The 23400-nt window shown below is 34.6% G+C and overlaps 1 protein-coding gene across 24 annotated transcripts in view; it reads right to left on the bottom strand.

Annotated features, from left to right (window-relative positions):
• Positions 1–23400, bottom strand: part of CNOT2 (CCR4-NOT transcription complex subunit 2) — a 111976-nt gene that overhangs the window by 58312 nt on the left and 30264 nt on the right. For 13 of the 24 annotated variants that reach the window (NM_001199302.2, XM_006719433.5, XM_047428885.1 and 10 more), the window contains one exon: positions 18408–18550. The exons of 1 other annotated variant lie outside the window; for it this stretch is intronic. In NM_001199302.2, coding sequence (NP_001186231.1) covers positions 18408–18455 — 48 coding nt within the window. In that variant the 5' untranslated portion in view covers positions 18456–18550. Of the gene's footprint in view, positions 1–2387; positions 2612–11095; positions 11283–18407; positions 18551–23400 lie in introns of those variants that run through there. 10 more of the 24 variants (XM_047428882.1, XM_017019348.2, XM_024448986.2 and 7 more) reach the window with 5 other exon arrangements.

Below are 23400 nucleotides of genomic sequence, written 5' to 3'. Positions count from 1 at the left end.
TGGAAATCTTTACCAAAAAAAAAAAAACTCTTCATGTGAGAAACAAATTCAAGTCCTCCGAGTTCTAGAATACTATGGTTTCATATTTTTAATATGATATAGGTATAATGAAAAGTTCATGAATCTGCTTAGGATGGATCTAAGAAAAGTGAAGATATAGATAAATTTTAAAGTCTAGAATTACAAATCATCAAATCGATAGCATGGAAACAAATAAGAGCAACTCATTGTTTTAGCCAATGCAGAATAACCATAAATAAGCAAAAAAGGCCTCAATGAATACCAAAGATAGTTAACATGTAGATACACACACACACAAAAATCTATGACTGGTTGGAAATAGGCTTTAGTAGAAAGCTAGGGACCTATACAAACACTTCCACAATCACTATTTTGGAGAGTAGATAAATATCCTGGCAGAGTCCTTTCCAAGGTTTACAGAAATATTTAGCATATTTCTGTGTATTTTTGGGGGGCTCATCCAATAAAACAAGATGGCCTATATCTGAAAGATGGGGAGGGTATGTGTGTGTGTGTTGGTGGGGGAGGGGAGGGTGGAAAAACACATCACTCTTTCCTAATCCAAAAACTAAAATCTGGTGTCTGAAGCTGCTTTATTCAGAAAATATTCTGAAAAGCCATGTATGTTATCCCTTAATATGCACCCCCAAAGTCTACAAATTCTCTAGGGAGTGTTACCAAAATGCTACAAATACCTCCACAAGTTTGACTCTGATCTAGGGAGAATATGTTCTGTATGTTTCAACATGAATAAACAGATTTTGTGGTTTTCTAGAATCTTAAAATGTGCTGCACCAATATGCTTTATATAGATTCACATTTGAACAATTAATATATAAGCTTTAAAAGCTAAGTGCATCATCCTAAAACCAAAATTCTAATTATTCAAAAAGTGCTAATCCATAGGAAAAAAGTACACATATACTAAAGAACTAAATATAATTAGTACCTCTTATGAGCAGTAAGAAGTTGGAGTTGAGAACTCACATAATAGAGCCTAAAATTAAAGTAGTACTTTATCTTTAAATATTAGGATGTAAAACTATAAAATACAAATGGAAGGACATATAACAGTAGAAAATCTCTACATTTAGAATAAAAACAAATCCTCTATGCATACAGAAGGAAAATCTTCTAATGAGAATATTTTAAATCCTTAAAAGACGGTAGGCAAAGATGGGTCTGATAAAGAGGGAGGAAGGAAGGGAATATGAATACATATTGAGAAAAAAACGGGATGTACTTTGCTGAGGGAGATGTGTTTATATAGAGCGTCCAGTTATCTAAAAAACTCAAGAAAAAAAGGGAGACAAACTGCTGGGAAGTCTGTATTTTGATGACTTGTTTTGAGACCTGAAATACCAAATACACTAGAACCCCAATCTCTTTTAACCCTCACATACTTTCTCTGAAGAAACTTAGCAACCATGGGCCATCTTAAGAGTCTGTTTTTCTTGGGTTTAATGTGAATGTCTTGTATGTGCAAAAATCTATAAATCAATGAACATGAATTATATGGGATAGATGTAGGAGAACGAAAGAAACACGTTTTGAAAGCTTTCTGAGAAGAAGCTCAAAAGTAAGGTAGTGAAGACCCAGAGCTACATCCCTACAAAATTAAATCTGTGATGTTTAGATCATGATTTCCAGTGCAAGGCAGACAAGGAGAAAATGCCAGGAGTGTTGGCATCTCTCTCTCTCTCTCACACACACACACACGACACAGGATCTGATGAGTTTATTCATTCGTTCAACAAACATTTGCTGAATTACGTACCAGATATCTATACTTATTTTTGTTAACTTCAAACCTAGAGATTGGTAGAAATGTTCCAGTCCTCCTGTCAAGACTTCAAGGAAAAAGATGTTTGAAATTTCTATTTCTGTAAAGATTAAAACATAGCTACCTGCCTAATACCTCAGGAAAAAATAGCACATCTAAAGCTAGTGGAAGAAAACTAAAACTTGCCTCCTCCTGAGACCAAGTTACATATGGCAAAATTATAGTCTATGGACTTAGGCCTTCCCCAACTTTTTTTTTAGCTTCTTTTTTGAACATGGGTTTTCTGGACCTGCTATATACACTGTGGAGAATATAAAGTTTAAAAAAATGTAAGAACCTTCCTTTGCATTATAATATTAATAGTTTATTAAGGTTTTTTTCTTATTTCACATCTAACAAGAATTAAAATTATTTCTTCACTATTTTTTAAATAATTTATGAGTTTTATGAGAAAAATAATTGATAACAAACATTATATTTCTAAACTAACAAAATGACTCATTGATAAAATGGCCCAACATCCACCCTCAAAATACTGATGACAGTACCATTTTTCCCCCGGCTTTCCCCACCACATACTTACCTGTGCAACTTCTTTCAACATTTGCTACTCTGGGGATTGGAAAGCTCAGAGCTGGAGGCTGAAGTGAAGAAGGAAAGGTTGGAGGGTGAGCCATGGCACCAGCCCCACCCTAGGAGCTCCCCTGAGATATTACAGCAGGGTTGACGCCATAGCTCTGAAGTTCAACTCCAGCAAACAGTAAGAAAGTCCAACCAGAACATGATAAACGATGGGATTCTTCCGCTCTTTGAAAAATAAGGAAATCATGCTATAAAGATCTGAATGTCCAGTTTCAACATTATGACTCCCTGTTCACCTCTTCATTACTGGCCAAACCCAGATTCATCTTTCAGACTAATTCAAAGTACTAAGTTTAAAAAAAAAAAAAAAAAAAAAAAAAAGCAGTGCTCACCACAAACTTGCACACTTTTCCAGAAAATGCAAAGACAGAGCTTACCTGGCCATTATGAAAACATGTAAGACAGTGTGTTCAAATACTTTGTGCCTATCCACTCCTTGTACACTCTCTTGCTCTCTTGAGTACTCAACATTAAATCTAAGGCTCTCATACACATTAACACCATCAACAAGCAGAATTAAAGTTGTACTATATGGATGTACTTAAAATTCGTAAAGGTGGACCAGTGAACTTTTAAAACCTACACATAACTCTGATATAAGTACAATCCTTGGGAAAAAGTGAATTTCTTAACTGCTCCATGCTGATAAAAACAAATAAGGACCCCTCCATCAAAAAAAACCTGGCACTTTAACCAAACAAGATAATAAAGAGAAAAATTTTAAGATTTTAAAACAAAACAATCTGAATATAGGATTTAAATAAGATATGAAATCCAGGCCAGACACAGTGGCTCATGCCTGTAATCCCAGCACTTTGGGAGGCTGAGGCGGGCAGATCACCTGAGGTCGGGAGTTTGAGACCAGCCTGACCAACATGGAGAAACCCTTCTCTATTAAAAATACAAAATTAGCCGGGCATGGTGGCACATGCCTGTAACCCCAGCTACTCGGGAGGCGGAGGCAGGAGAATCTCTTGAACCCAGGAGGTAGAGGGTGCATTGAGTTTAGATCGTGCCACTGCACTCCAGCCTGGGTGATAAGAGCAAAACTCTATCTCAAAAAAAAAAAAAAAAGATATGAAATCAATTCACTTTTACAAAAATGTTGAATCCTTGAAAATATAAAAAGTGAGTTATTTTCAAAGAAAAATAAACTCTATTACAAATACTAAAACTAATAAAAATAGAAGCTTATTTAAGACATCTGTTCAATAGCATAAATAGATATTATTGAAGGTGACAAATTATTTTAAAACCTTTACATTTTAAAAATATACAGAGGTATCAGAATCCTAATTTATGTTACAGGAAGTAATTAAAAATGAAAAGTATTCCTTTAGCAAGGGAAGACATGATCTTTAAAATGTTTCTAAACATCTCACCATGTACACTAATTCAATAATCACTGAGTTAGCATCTACTACACACAGTGCTAGATGTTAGGTATTACATTTTATACTTATACACTTTATCCCCTTCAGGCTCAGAATAAAAGAACATCAGAAATCAAACGGAATAGAGGTGAAACACATTTACAATGGACTCCTGCACCATTACCAAGGCCTCCAAGGCCTTCATGACCTTACTCTTTGTTATCTCTAATCTCCCCTGTTAGCATTCTCCCCTTCTCTTCATGTGCTCCTGCCATACTGGCCTCCTTGCTATTCCTCAAACACATCGGACATACTCCTGTCTCCAAGCCCTTGCCTTTGTTATCCTCCAGGAATGCTCTTCCTCTAGACATCCAGATGGCTTCCTACTTCACCTACTTCAGGTGTGAAGTCATCTCAGTAAGGAATTCCTTGTGTATTTAAAATTACAACACTTTGTCCCCCACCCCTTACATTTAGTTTTACATTTCCTTAGTCTTCTCCAATCCGAGACTTATCCTAGTCTTTCTTCTTTCATAATATTGATGTTATATCATACACACTGCAGAATGTCCCACAGTTGGGGTTTGTCAGATGTTTTCTCATTAGACTGAAGTTATGCATTCTGAAAGCCACATCACCACAGAGCTGATGTAGTCTTCTCAAGTGCATCATATGTGATGCATATATTCCAATATATGAGTGCATATGATGTTAATATGTCTTATTACAGGTGAAGTGGTGCATCTGGAAGTTTTCTCCACTGTAAACTACTAGTTTTCTCTTTTTAAATAAGAAATGTTTTGGAGTACTGTGAGAACATGCAAATACCTGTCTGCCCTTACATTTCTGTCCACTCCTTATAGCATTCATCCGTGAATATTGCTCGCAGTATCTATTACCGTGGTGTTGTTTTGTTTTGTTTTTTTGAGACGGAGTCTCACTCTGTCGCCCAGACTGGAGTGCAGTGGCACGATCTCGGCTCACTGCAAACTCCGCCTCCCTGGTTCACGCCATTCTCCTGCCTCAGCCTCCCAAGTAGCTGGGACTACAGGTGCCCGCCACCACGCCTGGCTAATTTTTTGTATTTTTAGTAGAGATGGGGTTTCACCGTGTTAGCCAGGCTGGTCTCGATCTCCTGACCTGGTGATCTGCCCGCCTCAGCCTCCCAAAGTGCTGGGATTAGAGGCGTGAGCCACCACGCCTGGCCTACCATGGTGTTTTAATGGTAATTTTCTACTTTCCTTCTCTATTTAATGGAAATGCTTTAACAAAGCAAACCAAATCTTTTAAAGGTTTCACTGTTAACTATGAACACGGTGTCAAAGACTTTACATAAATGGACCCAAGTGATTCAGGTAGAATGTGAAGACTAGTGGCTCAAACTAAAGGCTCTTCACTCTACCAAGCACATTTGTTTTAGTTTTATCACAGTGCCTTTAGAAAAGTGCCTTGGTAGAAAAGAATAGGTGTAAAATTTCATGTGCCGGTAGCATTTTTGGCCCTAATAAGGGTCTTTCCTTTTTCCTTGAAAACATCTTATATTTTCATTAGCACATTTATTATAATGTCTTTAATTTACTGATCCAGATAAAACAATACAGAGATAATATACTATTTTATGCTATACAACACAGATTTTTTTAAAGTAAGAAATGCTTATTGGTAAAATTTTTACCTGACAGCTGAGAAAATGAATGACCACTGTATCTATGGGCCTACTGGATTCTAGGGAATCTTAAGGGAATCAGGAAATTCAGAGGAAACAGTCCAATTTTTAAGTTAAATTGAATCAGGACTATGACAATTCTACATAAGAACTGGAATTCATTTACTGACCTGTACTGTTTTATTTTTCATTCTAAATGACCTTAAATGCTGAGAAATGGTCTGAAATTTGTGTATATTGCACACTGTATAGTATTTTATACAAGAGAAAGCATCCAAGCCTTATCTGAATATTGACACAAAAGCTTATTCTCTTTATCAGGGATGGTTTTCATTCATCTTCTCAACCAAAATATAGTTTTTAAAAATGAAATAAGGGTGCAGTGGCTCACACCTGTAATCCCAGCATCTTGAGAGGCTGAGGTGGGAGGATCACTTGACAAGCCTGGGCAACATAGTGAGACCCTGTCTCTATAAAAAAAATTTTAATAAGAAAAAATAATTTTAAAAAATGAAACATTAAGACTTTCACTTCCAACCGAGAGAGTAGTGTGGTAGTATTAGTTGTAGCAGCAGCCCACCTAAAACAACTTGAAAATGGACAAAATATATTAAACAATTGATTTCAGACACAGGATATCAGGCCGTGCAGGACAATAATCCTTGAGACCAGAGAAAGAATCATTGAGGGCTCAACAACTACCCTTGCTTATAAGACTGAAAGAATTTTCAGTGTGCAGTGAGGGAGAGGGATTCCAGATTGGTGGAGCCCAGCAATCTTTGTGAATTGAGGAAGTGGAGAAGAGGGCAATTAAAGGCAGCCAGAATAGGCTGGGATACTAAACAAGAATGACTGGCACAGAGAAAGATCTCTGAAAATATGCAGAGGGTTCCTCTGAGATTTCAGCTAAGTACTGATTAGCACATGCATGGAAGGAAACTACCAGAAGCTAAAAAAAACAAAAAAAAAAGGCCACCTGAAAGAAACAGAGAAAACAATCCCCAGGGCCCAGACAGGGCTGGGAATCATTTATTTTCCTATGAGCCAGAGTAGAAAAACATAATTTACATAATTCAGAAAAGAATTGCTTAAGTAGTTGGAAGAAAATTAACCCTAAAGATTACTCTGGTTCTGTTAAACAAGACCTAAAAAAAAGAAAAAAAAGAAAAGGATGTCTCAAAGATCAAATGGCTTCTATTATAAGTAACTTAACTGCAACCACAAGAAATCTAAAGAATATTAACAGAAATACAAACATTATATAGCACTCAACAAGATAAAGTTTCCAAAGACTGGCATCCAAGCAAAAATCACCAGCCATGCAAAGAAGCCCTAAAAGAGAACAGATAATGAGGAGGAAAAAAAAACCAACACTCAATAGAAACAGACATAGTTTCTATTAGTAAACATGAGTAACAGAATTAGTAGACAATGATATGCAAGGAGTTATAATTACATTTTGTATGTAAAAGAAGGCAGAATAATTGGCATGCTGAAGAAAAGATTAGCAAACTTAAAAAAACAGTAATAAAAACTATCCTAACTAAAGCATGGTGAGAAAAAAAGAAAGAAAAAAATGAACAAAGCATCAGTAAGCTATGGGACAACTCCAGGCAATTAGGTATATGCGTAATTGGAGTCCTCAAAGGACAGTGAAGACAGAGAATATATTCAAATAAATAATGGATGAAAAAAATTCCTAAATTTGTATAAACATACAAATTCAAGAAGCTCAACAAATCCCACGTGTAAGACTCATAAAAAAAATTATACCGACATAGACCTTAATCAAGCTGTGTAAAATAAGTGACAAATTTAAAAATCTTAATATTAGCCAGAGAGAAAAAGGTATATTATACACACAAGACTAAACATAAGAATGACAGCAGACTTTTCATAGGAAATAAGAAGACAGCGAATCATCATTTAAAAAATTCTAAAAGCAAAAAACCCGTCAATTTTGAACTTCAGACTCAGTGAAAGTATATTTACAAATAAAGGTGAAATAAAGACTTTTCAAACAAAACCTAAAATAATTCATCACCACTAGAAGTGCCTTAGAAAAAAAATTTTTTAATCCTTTAGGTAGAAGAAAAATATTATGAAGAAAGAAGGGAAGAAAGAAAAAAGGAAGAGAAGTGAGCAAGAAAATAAAGCAGGGCAAGGGAGGGAATAAAAAAAAAGCGAAAGGAGAGAAGAAAGGGATAAGAAGTAAAAACAGGAAAAGATGGGAAGAAAAAGAGAAAAAGAGTCAACAAACCTATTCCATTATGAATGATAATAAAACGCAGAAATAACATTACCACCATCCCTAAAATTACCATGAACAATGAGAAAATGTAACAGAAGTCTAAGCAGAAAATGTTTCCCTTAGGAAGTGAGATTTCAGCTGAGATCTAAAGAATAATTAAAATAGATGTTGTTTGGTAGTACAACTAAGAACCCAGAATGCCCCACTAAATAACAACTAAAATCACTCCATAAAATACTAACTTTATCCAATCAACAATACTTACTACATGCCAGACATTATTCTCAGGTGAGGATACAGCAATGAACAAAATAAACACTAACAGAGGTTACATTTTTAAGTGTACAGCTGAACCTGCAAGGGAGGAAGGGAAATTCAACACCCTTAAATGAGAGTAAAAGCTAGAATTCCAGAGAAGCCACAAGCTTATATCCCTAAAGGAGAAGCTATTTAAAAAAGCTTTTTATAAATCATGTACCTTAAAATGTTACACCCTGGCTGAGAGCGGTGGCTCATGCCTGTAATCCCAGCACTGTAATCCCAGGCCGAGGTAGGTGGATCACCTGAGGTCAGGAGTTGGAGACCAGCCTGGCCAATGTGGTGAAACCTCATCCATACTAAAAATACAAAAAAAATTAGCTGAACATGGTGGCAGGTGCCTGTAATCCCAGCTACTTGGGAGGCTGAGGCAGGAGAATTGCTTGAACCAGGCAGGCAGAGGTTGCAGTGAGCCAAGATCGTACCATTGCACTCCAGCCTAGGCAACAAGAGCGAAACTCCGTTTCAAAAAAAAAAAAAAAAAAAAAAAAGAGCTACACCATAATTGTAATAACCCCTTAGTAAAGAGGACAGCAAAAAATCTTGATGTTCCTGTTATTTATGGTAAGCAAAAAGTGGTGAAGGAATGCTCTGAAAATTTATAGCCACAAAAAAGCATAAATTCACATTGCCTATGTGGACTGCAACCTCAAGCTAATATTTTATTTGGAATTGGTTCTGGATTGGTAGTGCCTTAGGGTCTTAGCAAAAACAAGTGAAAATCCCCTTGGGAGAAATGTCCCCTTCTACCCAGTGCTCAAAGAATTCCCAGAGTTCTAAGAAACATGAAATGATAGCTTAATATACACACAAGGAAACAAGGCACAATGAGAACCAGCAGAAACAAAAACATTAGCATAATATGTGACAACTTCCAATTGTTGGATTTATCACAGGCTAAACACAAAAATTTATAAAATAATTAAAGAAATAAGATATATTGGAATCTAGATCTAAACAAAGGGATAAATGATTATATGGATACATAAGATGTACATAATAAGATTAACACTTGATCTAATGGAGAGAAACAAAGCAATACACCTGCCAATTTGGTTAATATACATTTTGTTCAAACACATAAACAAATAATTGTATCATACAGACCACATTCTTGAACCAAAATGGAATTATATGAGAAATCAGCAACAAAAAGATAACTAGACAAACCTGATAATTACCTGGAAAATTAAAAACGTAAGATTAAAGAACAGTATAACAAACCCTAAGAAGTGAAAGGAAAACATTAAAGAACACTGATGAATAGAAAACAAAATTAAATTTTAGAAATAAATAAAGGCTAAAATTTGACCCCTAGTAAAACTGACGAATCACTAGTAAGTCTGACCAAATAAGGGGAAAACGCACATAGTAAACAACCTTAAGAAGAAAAAGATGCTACAGAGGAAAAAAATATATAAGGTAGCATTATGAACAATTTCTTTACCCTGATAAAGTATATCTATAAAAAAAATCCTGTATCAAATATTATTTAATGATGACAACTTCAAAACTGGTGACAATTTCAAAACTGTCATTTCCAAAGGATGTGTTTACTTATATGAACCCCCCAAAAAGCCTACAGATAAATTATAAAAATTAAAAAGTTTAGCAACATTGAGATACAAAAATCAATTTTAAAAGTCAACTATATTTCAATAACACCTATAACTAAAAATTTTTTTTTAATTTACAACCAAGAAAAGCAACAAAAGTAGTCATAAATTGGACTAAAGATTTCTAAGTCCCTTATGAAAAAAATATAAAACTTTGAGAGAAAACATGAAAGAATACATAAACTTATCGATTCTTCCACAAAGAAAACTAAAGTCAATGCAATTCCACTTACAAACTCAATACTTCTTTTTGTGTTGGAGGGGAGCATTCTCATGAATATTCTAAATTTGTCACAGAGCAAAAGGCCAAGTCAAGACTCTTATGAAGAAAAAGGTTGACAGACAGACATGAAGATTTAACACAAAGCTTTAGTATTTAAGAAAACATGATATTGGTATAGGCACAGACAAACACATCAAGGTAACAGAGACATAAGAAATCCATGCATATAAAGAGAAACTTGATTTACAATAGAGCTAGCACTACTGAATAGTTAAGGAGGTTAGAATAAATTGGTACACAATGCTAATATGATAATTTAGGTGCAGGGGAAAGGAAACTGTACTTCTAACACCATGTACAAAAATCAATTTCAGGTAGATTAAATATGGAAGACAAAACAAAAAATCTTTTTTAAAAGACTATGAAGAATATCTCAATATATCTCAAACACAACCTCAATAGATGGAAAAAAATTTTAATTCTGAAATTATCAAATGTCAGATGAATATGAGGACTACTGATGGGGCTCAAAATTGGTATAAACACTCCCAAATACATTCCTAGAAGACCTCTTAGGAATGTAATCTTCCTGAAGTTTTAGAATACTGCTTTGTTCAGATAAACTTCTCTAACGTCATAAAGTTCTCTCTTCTGTTATTTTCACATAGTGTTTGAAAATATGATCGCTTATTTACTGAGATTTCCTGGTTCTGCTCCCCTCTCCCATTTTTATCTGGACCTTCTCTTTCCAATGTCACTGTTGTCCCTTTCCTGCTCAATTTTAATTCCTCTCCTCAGTGGAATCCTAGAAGGACACACTGGTGGGTCACTCTCAAGAGGTCAGAGAGCTAAGCTGCTCCAATCACTTTAGCCTTACCATGGGTTCCTCACTCACCTTATGAGGTTGACAAAATCTCTCCCAATTTCAAACTGGCTAATTGTACTTACCAGTGAATACCTGTTGACTACATTGGGTGCCTCCACTCTCAGGTCCATCAGACATCCCAATGGGTCTCATTTTATGCATAAAAACTGAAAACTGTAGGTCTTTTTCTTAGTTCTCATCTGCTTATATTGGGGTTCATGGGGACACTTTGTCAAGAAGTTCTGTTATGTTTCACGAGTTTTAGTTTTGCTGTCTAGCTGGTTCTATTTTTATGTGGAAATTCAGAAAGATTTAAAAAAAAAAACAAAAAACTAACCTGCCACCATCAGTGCTATCATCCTAGACTCCACGCAAGACCTAAGATAACCTCTTAAAAGATAACTTTGCGGCCAGGTGCGGTGGCTCACGCCTGTAATCCAAGCACTTTGGGAGGCCAAGGCAGGCGGATCATGAAGTCAGGAGATCGAGACCATCCTGGCTAACACGGTGAAACCCCGTCTTTACTAAAAAAAAAAAAATACAAAAAATTAGCCAGGCGTCGTGGTGGGCACCTTAGTCCCAGCTACTCAGGAGGCTGAGGCAGGAGAATGGCATAAACCTGGGAGGCAGAGCTTGCGGTGAGCCGAGATCAGGCCACTGCACTCCAGCCTGGGCAACAGAGCAAGAGTTCGTCTAAAAAAAAAAAACAAAAACAAAAACAAAATCAAAACATAACTTTGCTTGCTTCTGTATTTTCTCTGATTCACAGAAATATCCGCATTAATGTCTTAACTTTTGATTTAATGAGTACACATTTCACATTCATGATTAAGGCAAACCACTTAAATGTAAACTATTTTTCTGAAAGAGAACACTTCATATTTCATATATAAAGTCTACGTCATACGTTGCCAAAAGGAACACCAGAGCGAACACACAGGGGTGCTACTAGATATTTTATATCTTCTTAGGAAATACAGCAATATCTATCAGATAATCATATGAATATAAGTGATTTGGACCTAATTACTTATTTAGCAGAGTTTCTTTTGGCCCAAGGGCACTATGAAAAAATTACCAATTCACTAAGGGTGCTATAAACCAGGTGTCTTGGTGAAACTTATTTTTTGGAAAACAAATGTCACCTTATTTGATGATTTCAGATGATAATAAAAAAAGTATCAGAACGTATAATGCATTCAAAGAAAGGTTAACACTTAGCATCACACGGCAATGAGCCAACCAATGAGGAACTTGGGAATTCATTTAACTTGATTTGACATTACTGGTTGGCCTGAGAAAGAGGACAAAGAGAAGCCATGAATGCCAAAAAAAAAAAAAAAAAAAGGTCAAATTTTATTTTTAAAAATTTAGATTAGGTCGGCACAGTGGCTCATGCCTGTAATTCCAACACTTTGGGGAGGCCAAGGCAGGGAGATCACCTGAGGTCAGGAGTTTGAGACTAGCGTGGCCAACATGGTAAAATCCTGTATCTACCGAAAAATACAAAAATTAGTCGGATGTGGTGGTGCGTGTAGGTAGTTCTAACTACTTGGGAGGCTGAGGCACGAAAATTGCTTGAACCCAGGTGGCAGAGGTTGCAGTGAGCGGAGATGGTGCCACTGCACTCCAGCCTGGGTGACAGAGTGAGACCCTGTCTCAAAAAGAAAAAAAAAAAAGCTGGGCATAGTGGATCACACCTATAATCCCAGCACATTGGGAGGTCGAGGCAGATGGATCACCTCAGGTCAGGAGTTCGAGACCAGCCTGACCAACATGGAGAAACTCTGTCTCTACCAAAAAACAAATACACAATTAGCTGGGCATGGTGGCACATGCCTGTAATCCCAGCTACTCAGGAGGCTGAGGCAGGAGAATCGCTTCAACCCAGGAGACAGAGGTTGTGGTGAGCACTCCAGCGATCGCGCCACTGCACTCCAGCCTGGGCAACAAGAGCGAAACTCCATCTCAAAAAAAAAAAAAAAAAAAAAAATTTACATCATGAAGTCAAAGTGACTTCCGTTGCTGATCATGTGATCATGACATGAACAGAGCTTTCACAATCAAAAATGTAATTATAAGAGCAACTTCATCTTAAGCAGCTGTATAAATGCAAGTAAAGGGCACATAAAAAGTCATTCTACCCCTTTACTTTATCTCTGGCTAGTGATAACATGTCACAGCCATCTGGTTGCAAGGCTTTCAAGAGCAAAGAAGAGGAAACTGAACCAATTCATTGGATTCAGGCTTTTTTCCTTTTTTTTTTTTTTTTTTTTAAACTCATTCTTTCATTAGGTCGCTCTTATTCATCTTCACCTAACACCAAGCAGCAATAATAACTACAAACTCAATTTTTCTTCTCTGGGCACCAGATCTGACAACTTTTCAATTGTTAAGTATTAATTTAATAAAATTCTATCTATCTATCTATCTATCTATCTATCTATCTATCTATCAATCGACTGACTGAGGGTCTTGCTCTGTCACACAGGCTGGAGTGCAGTGGTGTGATGATAGCTCACTGCAGCCTCAAACTCTGGGGCTCAAGCTAATCTCCCGCCTCAGCCTCTCCAGTAGCTAGGACTACAGGTGCACAGCACTACACTCAGCTATGATTTTATTTTATTAAGTGTTCTTTATATTCATTATATATCTTTAACATACTATATATCATAGATTCTAAGATGCTTTGGTGCTGGTACTGTTTGTCACAACTATGACTTGAAGTCACCATCAGCTGTAAGATGCATCCTGACTTCAGAGAGAGAAACATGTTCAATAATGTGCCACTTAACAATAAAAGAAAGGAAATACACTTAACTGTTTATTTACAATTACAATTTTATTGCAGTATAAAAGAAAAAGTATTATCTGAATACAGTACATACTAAATGGAAATATACTTAGTGATTCATTTGTTTCTGTTTATATTAAGTAGTTTGTATTTTAAATACTCTGTATTATGCAGAAATCCTTGGTGAATTATCAAGTAGGTGTTGAGTACTTTAGCTATATCTAGGAAATTGTTTAGGGTCTTAAGTGGGCTGGAAATTATGATTTTTCCTACTCAAAATAATAAAATATGGGGCACCACTTTCCAAAAAATTGCCACACAATACATAAAAAAGATGTACCTCAATATACTGAAAAACATATATGTAATAAGTTATAAAAATATAAAGAATGAAACACAAAATTAAAACTATTGATTACTTCTGGGGAAGAGGGCAGAGGAAAGAATGGGAAACGGAAATAGCTCCATTAAGTACAATGCAGAAAAATACACATTTGTTAGAGACAAAGACAATGAATCACATCTACACTATATAGTCACTAGTAAAGATCTGAAGAGGTACACACCAAACTGTTAAGAGTAAAGTTGTCAAGGCAAACTTTCACACTGTATTTTATATTCCGTATTTTTCTTCAACGTTTTGGTAATAGGCATCTGTGATTTTTAAAGTTAATTAAAAGGAAGTAAGATATTTAATGTTGGGGAAGAAAATGGCAATACAATCATTTTTACAGTTCTCTGACATACTATATTCCACAAAAATACAATGTTTTAGATTATGAATCATTCTTCAGAAACGTACGGAATAGGATGCATTAGACCCAGTTTGTAGATAATGCATTGAATTAGCTAGCATATGATGTGACCAATGACCTCATACTGAAAAGTTCCATTCAAAGTAACATCTAAATATCTTGCAAATACCTCTACCTTCCCATACCACTTACACTGGTATGTTACCCAGTATACTTTCCATTTCTTCCTTTCCCTTCTTTCACTGTTTTATTTAATTTTATTGGAACAACATGCATTGAACACCTATCTACATACCAAGCACCAAGCTAGGTATTGGCAGTACCAAAATAAACAGATACGGTCCCAGTTTTCAAGAAGCTTATTAGATACAGCAGTATTATCTAATACGATTTTCTGCAATGATAGAAATGTTCTGTATCTACACTGTTCAATACAGTAGCCATTAGCAGCATGTAGCCACTGAGCATTTGAAATGTGGTTAATGTGACCAATGAACTTTAAAATTTATTTAATTTAAATGAGTTTAAATTTATTTAATTTAAATGAGTTTAAATTTAAATAGCTACTTGTGACTAGTTCCTACGGCATTGGACTGCACAAGTCTATAGGAAGACAAGGACAAATAAACACAACTACAATGTATTATGGTAAACACTAAACTAGAAGTATGTAAAGGCTATGAAAGAAAGGGAAAGGAACACTGAATCTACCATAGGGTGACGTCTGGAAAAACTGATACTTAATTCTTGAATCATGTGAACAAAGGTGAGGCATTACATGAAAATAACCAATATAAGTAAACCCCTGTGGGTGTGAAACTGCATGGCAGGGAGATTAAAAGCAGTGTTGTATTATTAAATGGGAAAATCTACTACAAAAAGTAACAGGAGATATATTGGAAAGGTAAATGGATGTAAGGAGGCCAGAATTTGGAAAGTCTAAAGGTAATGTTTAGAAGCTTGAATATGTTATGTAACAAAGGGAAAGCCGGATCGGGCACCGGTGGCTCACGCCTGTAATCCCAGCACTTTCAGAGGCCAAGGCGGGCAGATCACGAGGTCAGGAGTTCGAGGCCAGCCTGACCAACATGGTGAAACTCCATCTCTACTAAAAATACAAAAATTAGCTGGGTGTGGTGGCGCACGCCTGTAATCCCAGCTACTCAGGAGACTGAGGCAGGAGAATCGCTTGAACCCAGGAGGCGGAGGTTGCAGTGAGCGCACCACTGCACTCCAGCCTGGGTGACAGAGCAAGAGTCCGTCTCAAAAAAAAAGAAAAAAAAAAAAAAAGGGAAAGCCATTGATTAGTTAAATTGGTAATTAAGATGGTTTACATTTGTGCATGTGCATGCTCATAGCTAGGGTAAGTTAGTCTAAATTAGAGGAAGATAAGAAAATGGTTACAAAAACTGAAGGTGCATTTCCTTGGAAAAAGCTTGACAATCCAAAAATGAACCATGAGCCATATAATAAATTGTTTTATCTGAACTAATATGCCAGTCTATCTCTGCAAATAAACTTCAGCTACTGTATTCAAACTCCAAATACCTAACTGGGCTTAAACTTATAGTAAGAAAGAAAACACACAAAGTAGATACCACCATAAAAATCAATACTTCAAACCAAGCCCATTTAAAAGTCACTATCTTTAGTATAGAGCCAAGGGAATGCACCTTCCTAAACTTAATTCCTAAGGCTTTAATCAGGTCTGTAAGGAAATGAGACCTGGATAAATTTTACAAAAATTCTTGTTAAACTCTTCAATATTAGCCTATTATCAGAATGTTCAAATAAATATAAAATATTAAGTGTCCCTCAAAAGCAAAAGCCCTCAAAGATAAATGAAAATGGTTATAAACATAGACACAAAGAAATTCTACTTTATCTATGAAAAATACATAAATTTCCTCCAAAGTAGAATTTTTAAAAATCCAAAATCATTTTCATCAATTCGGAAGATTTAAGTTCTCTCTTCTAGCTATTTTGAAATATACAATACCTTCTTGTTAATTATAGTCACCCTACTCTGCTATGGAACATTAGAATTTATCCCTCTATGTCCCTTTTCTCTTTTGTTTTTACTTAGTGATGCTAAATGCATATTGAAGTATACCTTGGAAACAGCTGTTTAAAGCTGGATTGTAAAATTATTTTATTTTTGAACCCTACTCTGAAAAGCACATGTATAGAAACAAAATTTCCTGTTTGGTATTATGATGAATATATTAAGAATATAAAAATTCTTAGACTACCAGTACAAATATAAATGTTACTTTAGTGATGAACATTCCTTTGAATTTCCCATACATTCTTATATAGACATTCTATACATGTAACAAAATACCACATGTACCCCATAAATACGTACAATTATGTATCAATAAACGAAGAGAGAAAAGGGAAAACATTTTGAGGCAGCAAACCCATAACCAAAAATGCATTTTCCAGGTATGCTCAAAAACCTGGATTATTTGTAAATAATATGACTGAAACAATGGAGTACTTTTAGTGTAGAAAGAGCAAGAATAAGCAAATCTCTTCATGTATAAAACATAATTCTGTTTTCTTTCTTAAGTATAAATTTTGGAATTCTATATTAATGTGGTTCCATGAGACAAATTAACTATAGTGTGTAATCACATAAAAATTCTACATTCACACTTTACAAATTGGATTATGAGCACTGAAAAGCCATATAATTCAGAATCACAAAATTCTTAAAATAATTTGGCAGAACCTACCAAAAGATGCAGAAGTCCAAGAAGTGTGACCAATTAAAATCTTATGAGTCAAGGTAATTGGAAGTGGGTGGGAAGCAGGAGCTACACCTGAGTACAGATCATTAGCAAAGGCTATGTTGGTCAAGTCTATGAGGACAACTCAGAAGAAAGGTTACAGAGAAAACTGATTCAGCATACCCTCAGTTTTCTCTGGCTTATTAAAATCATAAAGATCTGGCAAGAAACTTTAGATACCAAGTTAGAAGAAATTCTAGAAAGGTTAAATATGACATTATTTTTAATTAGGAACAGTGCCTAAACCAGAACCCAGATCTTATAATCAAAGCCTCTTTGTTATACCATACACCAAAAAGACTAATTTACAATTTGCTCCACTGCTAACTTTTCCAATTTGAGGGAAGAAAAGATTAACTGGGCTAAAATAAATGGTTAGCAGATAAACAGTTAGTTAACCAAAGCTGCTGCTATCATACTAGCTGCCTTCACAACCTAGAGGGAATGAACTGATGAGTGAAAGGAAGTGTGGGAGGTGGGGAGGTTGGACACATATCTGTGCAGGAAGCCTAAAAGTTTATTTGTACTCAAACTTTAAAGTATTCTGTATTCTGGATAACTAAATAAATGTGATAACAGATCACTATCAAATGAATAAAGGATATTTCCTTTAAAAAACTAAATTCAAATATGTTGGTTTTCTTTAAATCACTGTTTAATAGCACAATCTTTAAAATTCACCTTCTTTTCAAAGCTCAGAAATAGCAATGTTACATTTCCACTATTCTTCCAGCCTTCCTACACACTGAATAAGGAATGAATATTATTAACCACCTTATTAAATGAGAAAACAAGAATCTAGCATTTAAGGACAGCAAACTAATAACAAATTCAATAGAATTTGGGTCTCTAAGCACCCTGGGTTTCTCATTTCTATTTCTTCTATACTCTACTCAATTTTGTCTACATTTCTGTGATATATACTTTGTTATCCAAAATATAGCACAAGACTTCGGGTTTAGTCTTCCAGGAATAATATACGTAAAAGCAATCAACACTTTTGTTTTTACCATTTTGAATTCAGTCATGAAGTCATAACTTGTATATCAAATAATCTAAGTTTTGACAAATATCTCAGAAAACCTGATTTGACACTAAAAAATATACATTATGAATATGCTTTATTTTGAAAAGTGTTCCCAACTATTTCAACTATCAAATCCAGTACTTAATTTAAAATTATAAACCCAAATTTTCAAATTGAGGTGTAACCAATTTGCTGGTTCCAATTACATATAACACATTTGAACAGTTTCAATGTAGCTATAAGACCAATAGAGAAAAAAGAAGAAAGACTGGTCTTACCTGGTAGTTTCTTTTCTCAGATAATGTATGTCCATCAGTCCTCACCATAGAGTCGTGTCCTTTCCTCACAGTACCGGAGGCAATCAAATAGAACTGTCACTCAAGGGTCGTGTCACAGGAAGGACCGCCCACCACGTCTCCCTCTAGAGTGGAATTATCCAAAAGCCATCAAAATTACTAACATGTAAATATATCAACAGCAGCAAAAATATTCAATATGATACACAGAAAACAAAAAACAAAAAGTAATTGTTCTATACTCTAGTCTTCCTCGTAACCATTTTCGCGGGCTAGACTGGCATACTTTATTTGCAACAGAAATTATTAAATATGAAACATTCTTCCTACCCACTTCTACTTTCTTCAATTAAGACTGTCTGCCAGACATCACACACAAGGGAGAAATTTACAGTGAATAAAAAATGAAGTGGACAAAAAAGTTTACCCCTCCCACAACTGACATATTTTTTTCTTTTACATGAATCTTCTCCAGTTATCTCAAAAATATACAATTCACATTCAATCATTTAACTATAAATCCTTCCCCTCCAAATGATTATATATGATAGATAGAAATACAAGTTATTCACACAGCTACCGATTCATTCTGTGTAGGTTTATTCCCATGCAACAAAATGAGAATGCAACATATATTCTTAACACGATTAAGAGATACAAACATAACTCAATAATCTATTAAACTTTACTCCAAAAAGAAGAGCAAAAAATGTCAACTTCCTTTGATGCTTTTGTCTTTCAGTCATCCAATTTCATGCATACTCCAATAGGGAATTCACTTTTTTACATTGGGCGAAAAAATAATGGGGATGATTTCTTAAACTGCAGAGATATAAATAAGTCAAAATGACTTGCACTCCAGGTACCACCTCCCACCAAAAAATAAAAAATAAAAATAAAAAAAGCACTGAAGCTGAGGTGACAGTCACAAGAAATGCTGTCTTTAAAATGAATATTGAAAATGAGAGTTCAAATATTCAAAGGTGGGTCTACAAAGAATTTGTAAATATGCATTTTCAAGACAGATATCTCTTACCTAAGTTTTGTTAAGCATTCTCCCTAAGGAAGTAGTATGCATACCTACTGAACTAATAATCTTGCTAGCCACTAAACATTGGTATTCAAATTCAGAGCTATTATTTAATATCAACAAACATTTTGTGAGGAGATAACATCTAATCTATAATTTATAAGGAGAGTGAATTAGAATTATTAAAACCAACAAACACACATGTACACATATATATGGAGTACCTCTAAAAAGCAATCTATACGGGCAGAACATTTAAAAAAAAATTAAAAATGAATATTACTAAATTTAAGTTTTAAAAAGAACCCAGGTGACAAAAACCTATCTTCTGGCTCCTCTTTTATGTTTCATCACAAAGGTAGTGGGAGTTGTATTTTTACTTAAGTCTGACTATCTTACAGTGTACGTTTAGCCAAAATACTTCAGTCAGGCTGTATGACAAAATTGTAATTATTGATTACCAAATTTATAAATACCTTTGGAATTAAATATCTCTTTCAAAAATAACAAAGGAGTAAAGTTTTAAAGCATATTTACTATTATAAATGTAATCTTTATCATTTAGCAAGCAATGAGGTTATTCATAAGGAAAGTTACAAATGAATTGGATATTCAGGAATTGTTAAATGACGCACATTTGGCTCCAACTCAAATTTTCACGATTGTCACAAAAAGAAAGCAAGATTATTTTATTATGCATCCCCTAAATATTAACCGTTTTAATATTAGTGTTGTATAATATTAAATTGTAAAGTAGTACATGCCTTACCATTAATACATACATGGTGACTCTGAATTCAGTGGATAATAAATGCAAAATTTCAGTCAGTACTTATAGAATAAAATGTTTTCCTTCTTATATAATATTTAGGGTCTACGAATTACCTCCAATTATATTAATGTCAGCAAAAGAATGTTGGAAATCTATAATCAGGTAAGATAATTTTCAATACCCTAATGCTGTATACATCTTTAATACAACCTAATTATATACAAAAAATAATGACTGAAATTTATAGGCTAACACCACAACAATACGTATTAATATTTAATCTGTAAGAATTTACCAGATACAAGTTCACTTTGAAGAATTATGGATTTTTGTATAAAGGGAAAATCTATTTATTATTTGCTTTGTTTCCTCTTCTGGGGATAACTGGAAATATTTCATGGCCTGGAGTTTCAATCCATAGCCATTATATACTCTAATCAATGTGGGAGCTAATATTCTATAGTGAACTAAGAATCATTATCTCCTTTTAATAAACAAAAAAGAAAAATGACTGAAGACACTGTATTTTCTTCCAAATAAACATGAAAAGTTAACATCTGTCACCACTATCTTCACTGTACTATATTAAATAAAAATATTCAGCAATAAATTCTGTTGATAACCTTCATATTGGAAATGAAAGGATGTACAATACGTCAAAGAGAGACACAATCTGTGAAAAGGAACAAGTATGAGAGACAGCATGCACCCTAGGTGCCAAAATTTATTAAGGTTTATACACTGTTCTCCCACCAAGTCCTATATTCAAGAATTCAGAAAAGACAAATATTTGCAAAACTACAATGAAATTTTCTATAAGGCAAGGATGTATTTCATGATGAAAAAAGGAGGCTATGTTTACCCTTCTACCTTAAATAAACAGAAAACTAGACAAAATATATGAAACAATGGTTTCCAGACATCACACAACAATCTTCTCAGGACAGAGATCGTCAAGAAAAAGAACAAACGTAGTACACCCAGCTCACTGCCTGTAGTTTTGAGGCTGAAGCACAAGGAGGGGAAACTGGAACTAAATTTTTTAAATATATTTGATGAGCACTATAAACCCACAGATCCAAATTCAACAACCTCTAAAGAGAATAACAAAAACAAAACCACATGATCACAACATCTCAGAGTAAAATAGCTGCAAAACAGCAATAAACAAGAATCTTAAAGCAGGGGAAAAAAATACATAGAGTAACAAAGGTAGGAATGACATCAGACTTCTCATCAGAAACAATGCAAATCAGAGGAGAGTGGTTCAATATATTTAAAGTATAGAAAAGAAAAGAAAACTATCTACAAAGAATTCTAAGCCCAGCTAAAATATCTTTCAAAAATGAAGGTAAGTACAGCCATGTTAGAAGGTTAGGCAGTTTCTTATAAAGGTAAACACAAGCTTACCATACAACTCAGCAACTATGCCCCAAAGTTATTTACCAGTATAAACTGAAAACAGGTTCACACCAAAACCAGTACATGTATGAAGATGTACTTCATTCCAGTGAAGACGTGATGTCCTTTAATAGGTGAATGGATAAACAGAGTATCTACACAACAGAATACTCTCAACAACAAAATGGAAGAAGCTGTTAATTCATGCAAGATGGATGAATCTTAAGTGCATTTTTGCTACATTACAGGAAACAAACCAGACCCCAAAGGCCACACGTTGAACAATTCCATTAATATGACATTATGGAAAAGGCAAAATTACAAACCCAAAAAATAGATCAATTACTTCTCTCTGGCCTTAGTTTCCTAAGCTATAAAATAAAATGACTTAGATGAATCTTTTTTAACTTTTTCTTCTTTTAAACTTTTTAAAAAACCTTCCCCATGTTCCCCTCATCCCACTTCATTACTCAATAGTATTTAAACAATGCCCAAACCTTTTAGAAGCTGAAAATAGTATCTAAAATATCTGTAATTTGGTAGTCATTACCATACTCAAAGTTAAAATATGAATTTGGTTAGGTTAAGACAGCTGAACCAGCTGAACAGGTTTTCTCTTTTTTTAACAGAAGACATTACATTCTGGGGTGGCTATTAATTAGGACAAACTACAAGATGTGACCGATTTCACTGGAGCTCAATAAAACATGCAGTAAATGCATTTAGCCATTATCTTTAAAATAAGGGTTCCTCAAATTCTAGAACTACATCAAGCAATGTTTTCTTAATAGGTAGACTGCAGTCACATAAATATTTCCTTGCCCTTATGAACTAATTTTTTGCTTGATCACATGGATGTTTTAAAAATTCTGAGTTGATGGACAGATGAAATAAATATAAATAAAACTCAAGAATTTCAGTGAAATAAAAATAAATAAAACTCAAGAATACCATACCTGGTCTGGGAAAATTGCCATATTAACTAAGAACAGTTTCTCTGAGTATTTTAGTAATATGGGTTTCACAGACCTATAATTAGCATGTAAAATGAAAAGTTGCCTATATCTACAAAGAAAAACAAATACAACTTAACAATAATCTATTGAAATGAATTTGCTCTCTGGTTGTCATAATGTTTTATAACAATGTTGTATGTGTCTTCCATTTTCCACAGTGGTACTACTTTTAACTCAACTGTACAGTTGTCTCACATCCATACTCCAAGGAGGATTCTACACATCTGATACACAAAATTTACTATAAGTAGAGAGTCAGGTCTATCTAAAAGGCCCACCATCTCGAGACAGAAATTTTCTTCTACTGTGGCTTAAAAGTTTCAAATGAAGTGAATACTTATAAAGGGAATCCTACTGATCTTAAACGACAAAAGTTCAATAATTTCTGAACCACAGGCTTGAAAATTAAAAGCTCTTCATTTGATATGGGCTTAAATAAAACTGGGGTCTGAAATTCAGACAACAGGGGCTGTTTCTAGTCTTCCTGCTGCCCGAAAAGTACATCTGTTTACACAAGTTGCTTAGCTTCTGTGTGATTTAATTTCCTATTATAAATGAAAATAATATATCTGCATGGTCTAGTTCATGGTTTAGAGAAGGAGCAGCCAGCGAGGGAGATGAAAACCAAAGAGAGTATGGTAGATATCTTGAAAGTTAACTGGAATAAGTGGTTCAAGGAAGAATGTAATCAACTGTTTCAAAATGCTGTTGACTAAAAAAAAAAGATGAGAATTAATCTTTGGATTGCAGCATGGA

This window comes from Homo sapiens, chromosome 12 (assembly GCF_000001405.40).
Source record: "Homo sapiens chromosome 12, GRCh38.p14 Primary Assembly".
Lineage (NCBI taxonomy): Eukaryota > Metazoa > Chordata > Mammalia > Primates > Hominidae > Homo > Homo sapiens.
Note: the sequence above shows the minus strand (reverse complement) of the source record. Positions and strands in the feature narration are given on the sequence as shown.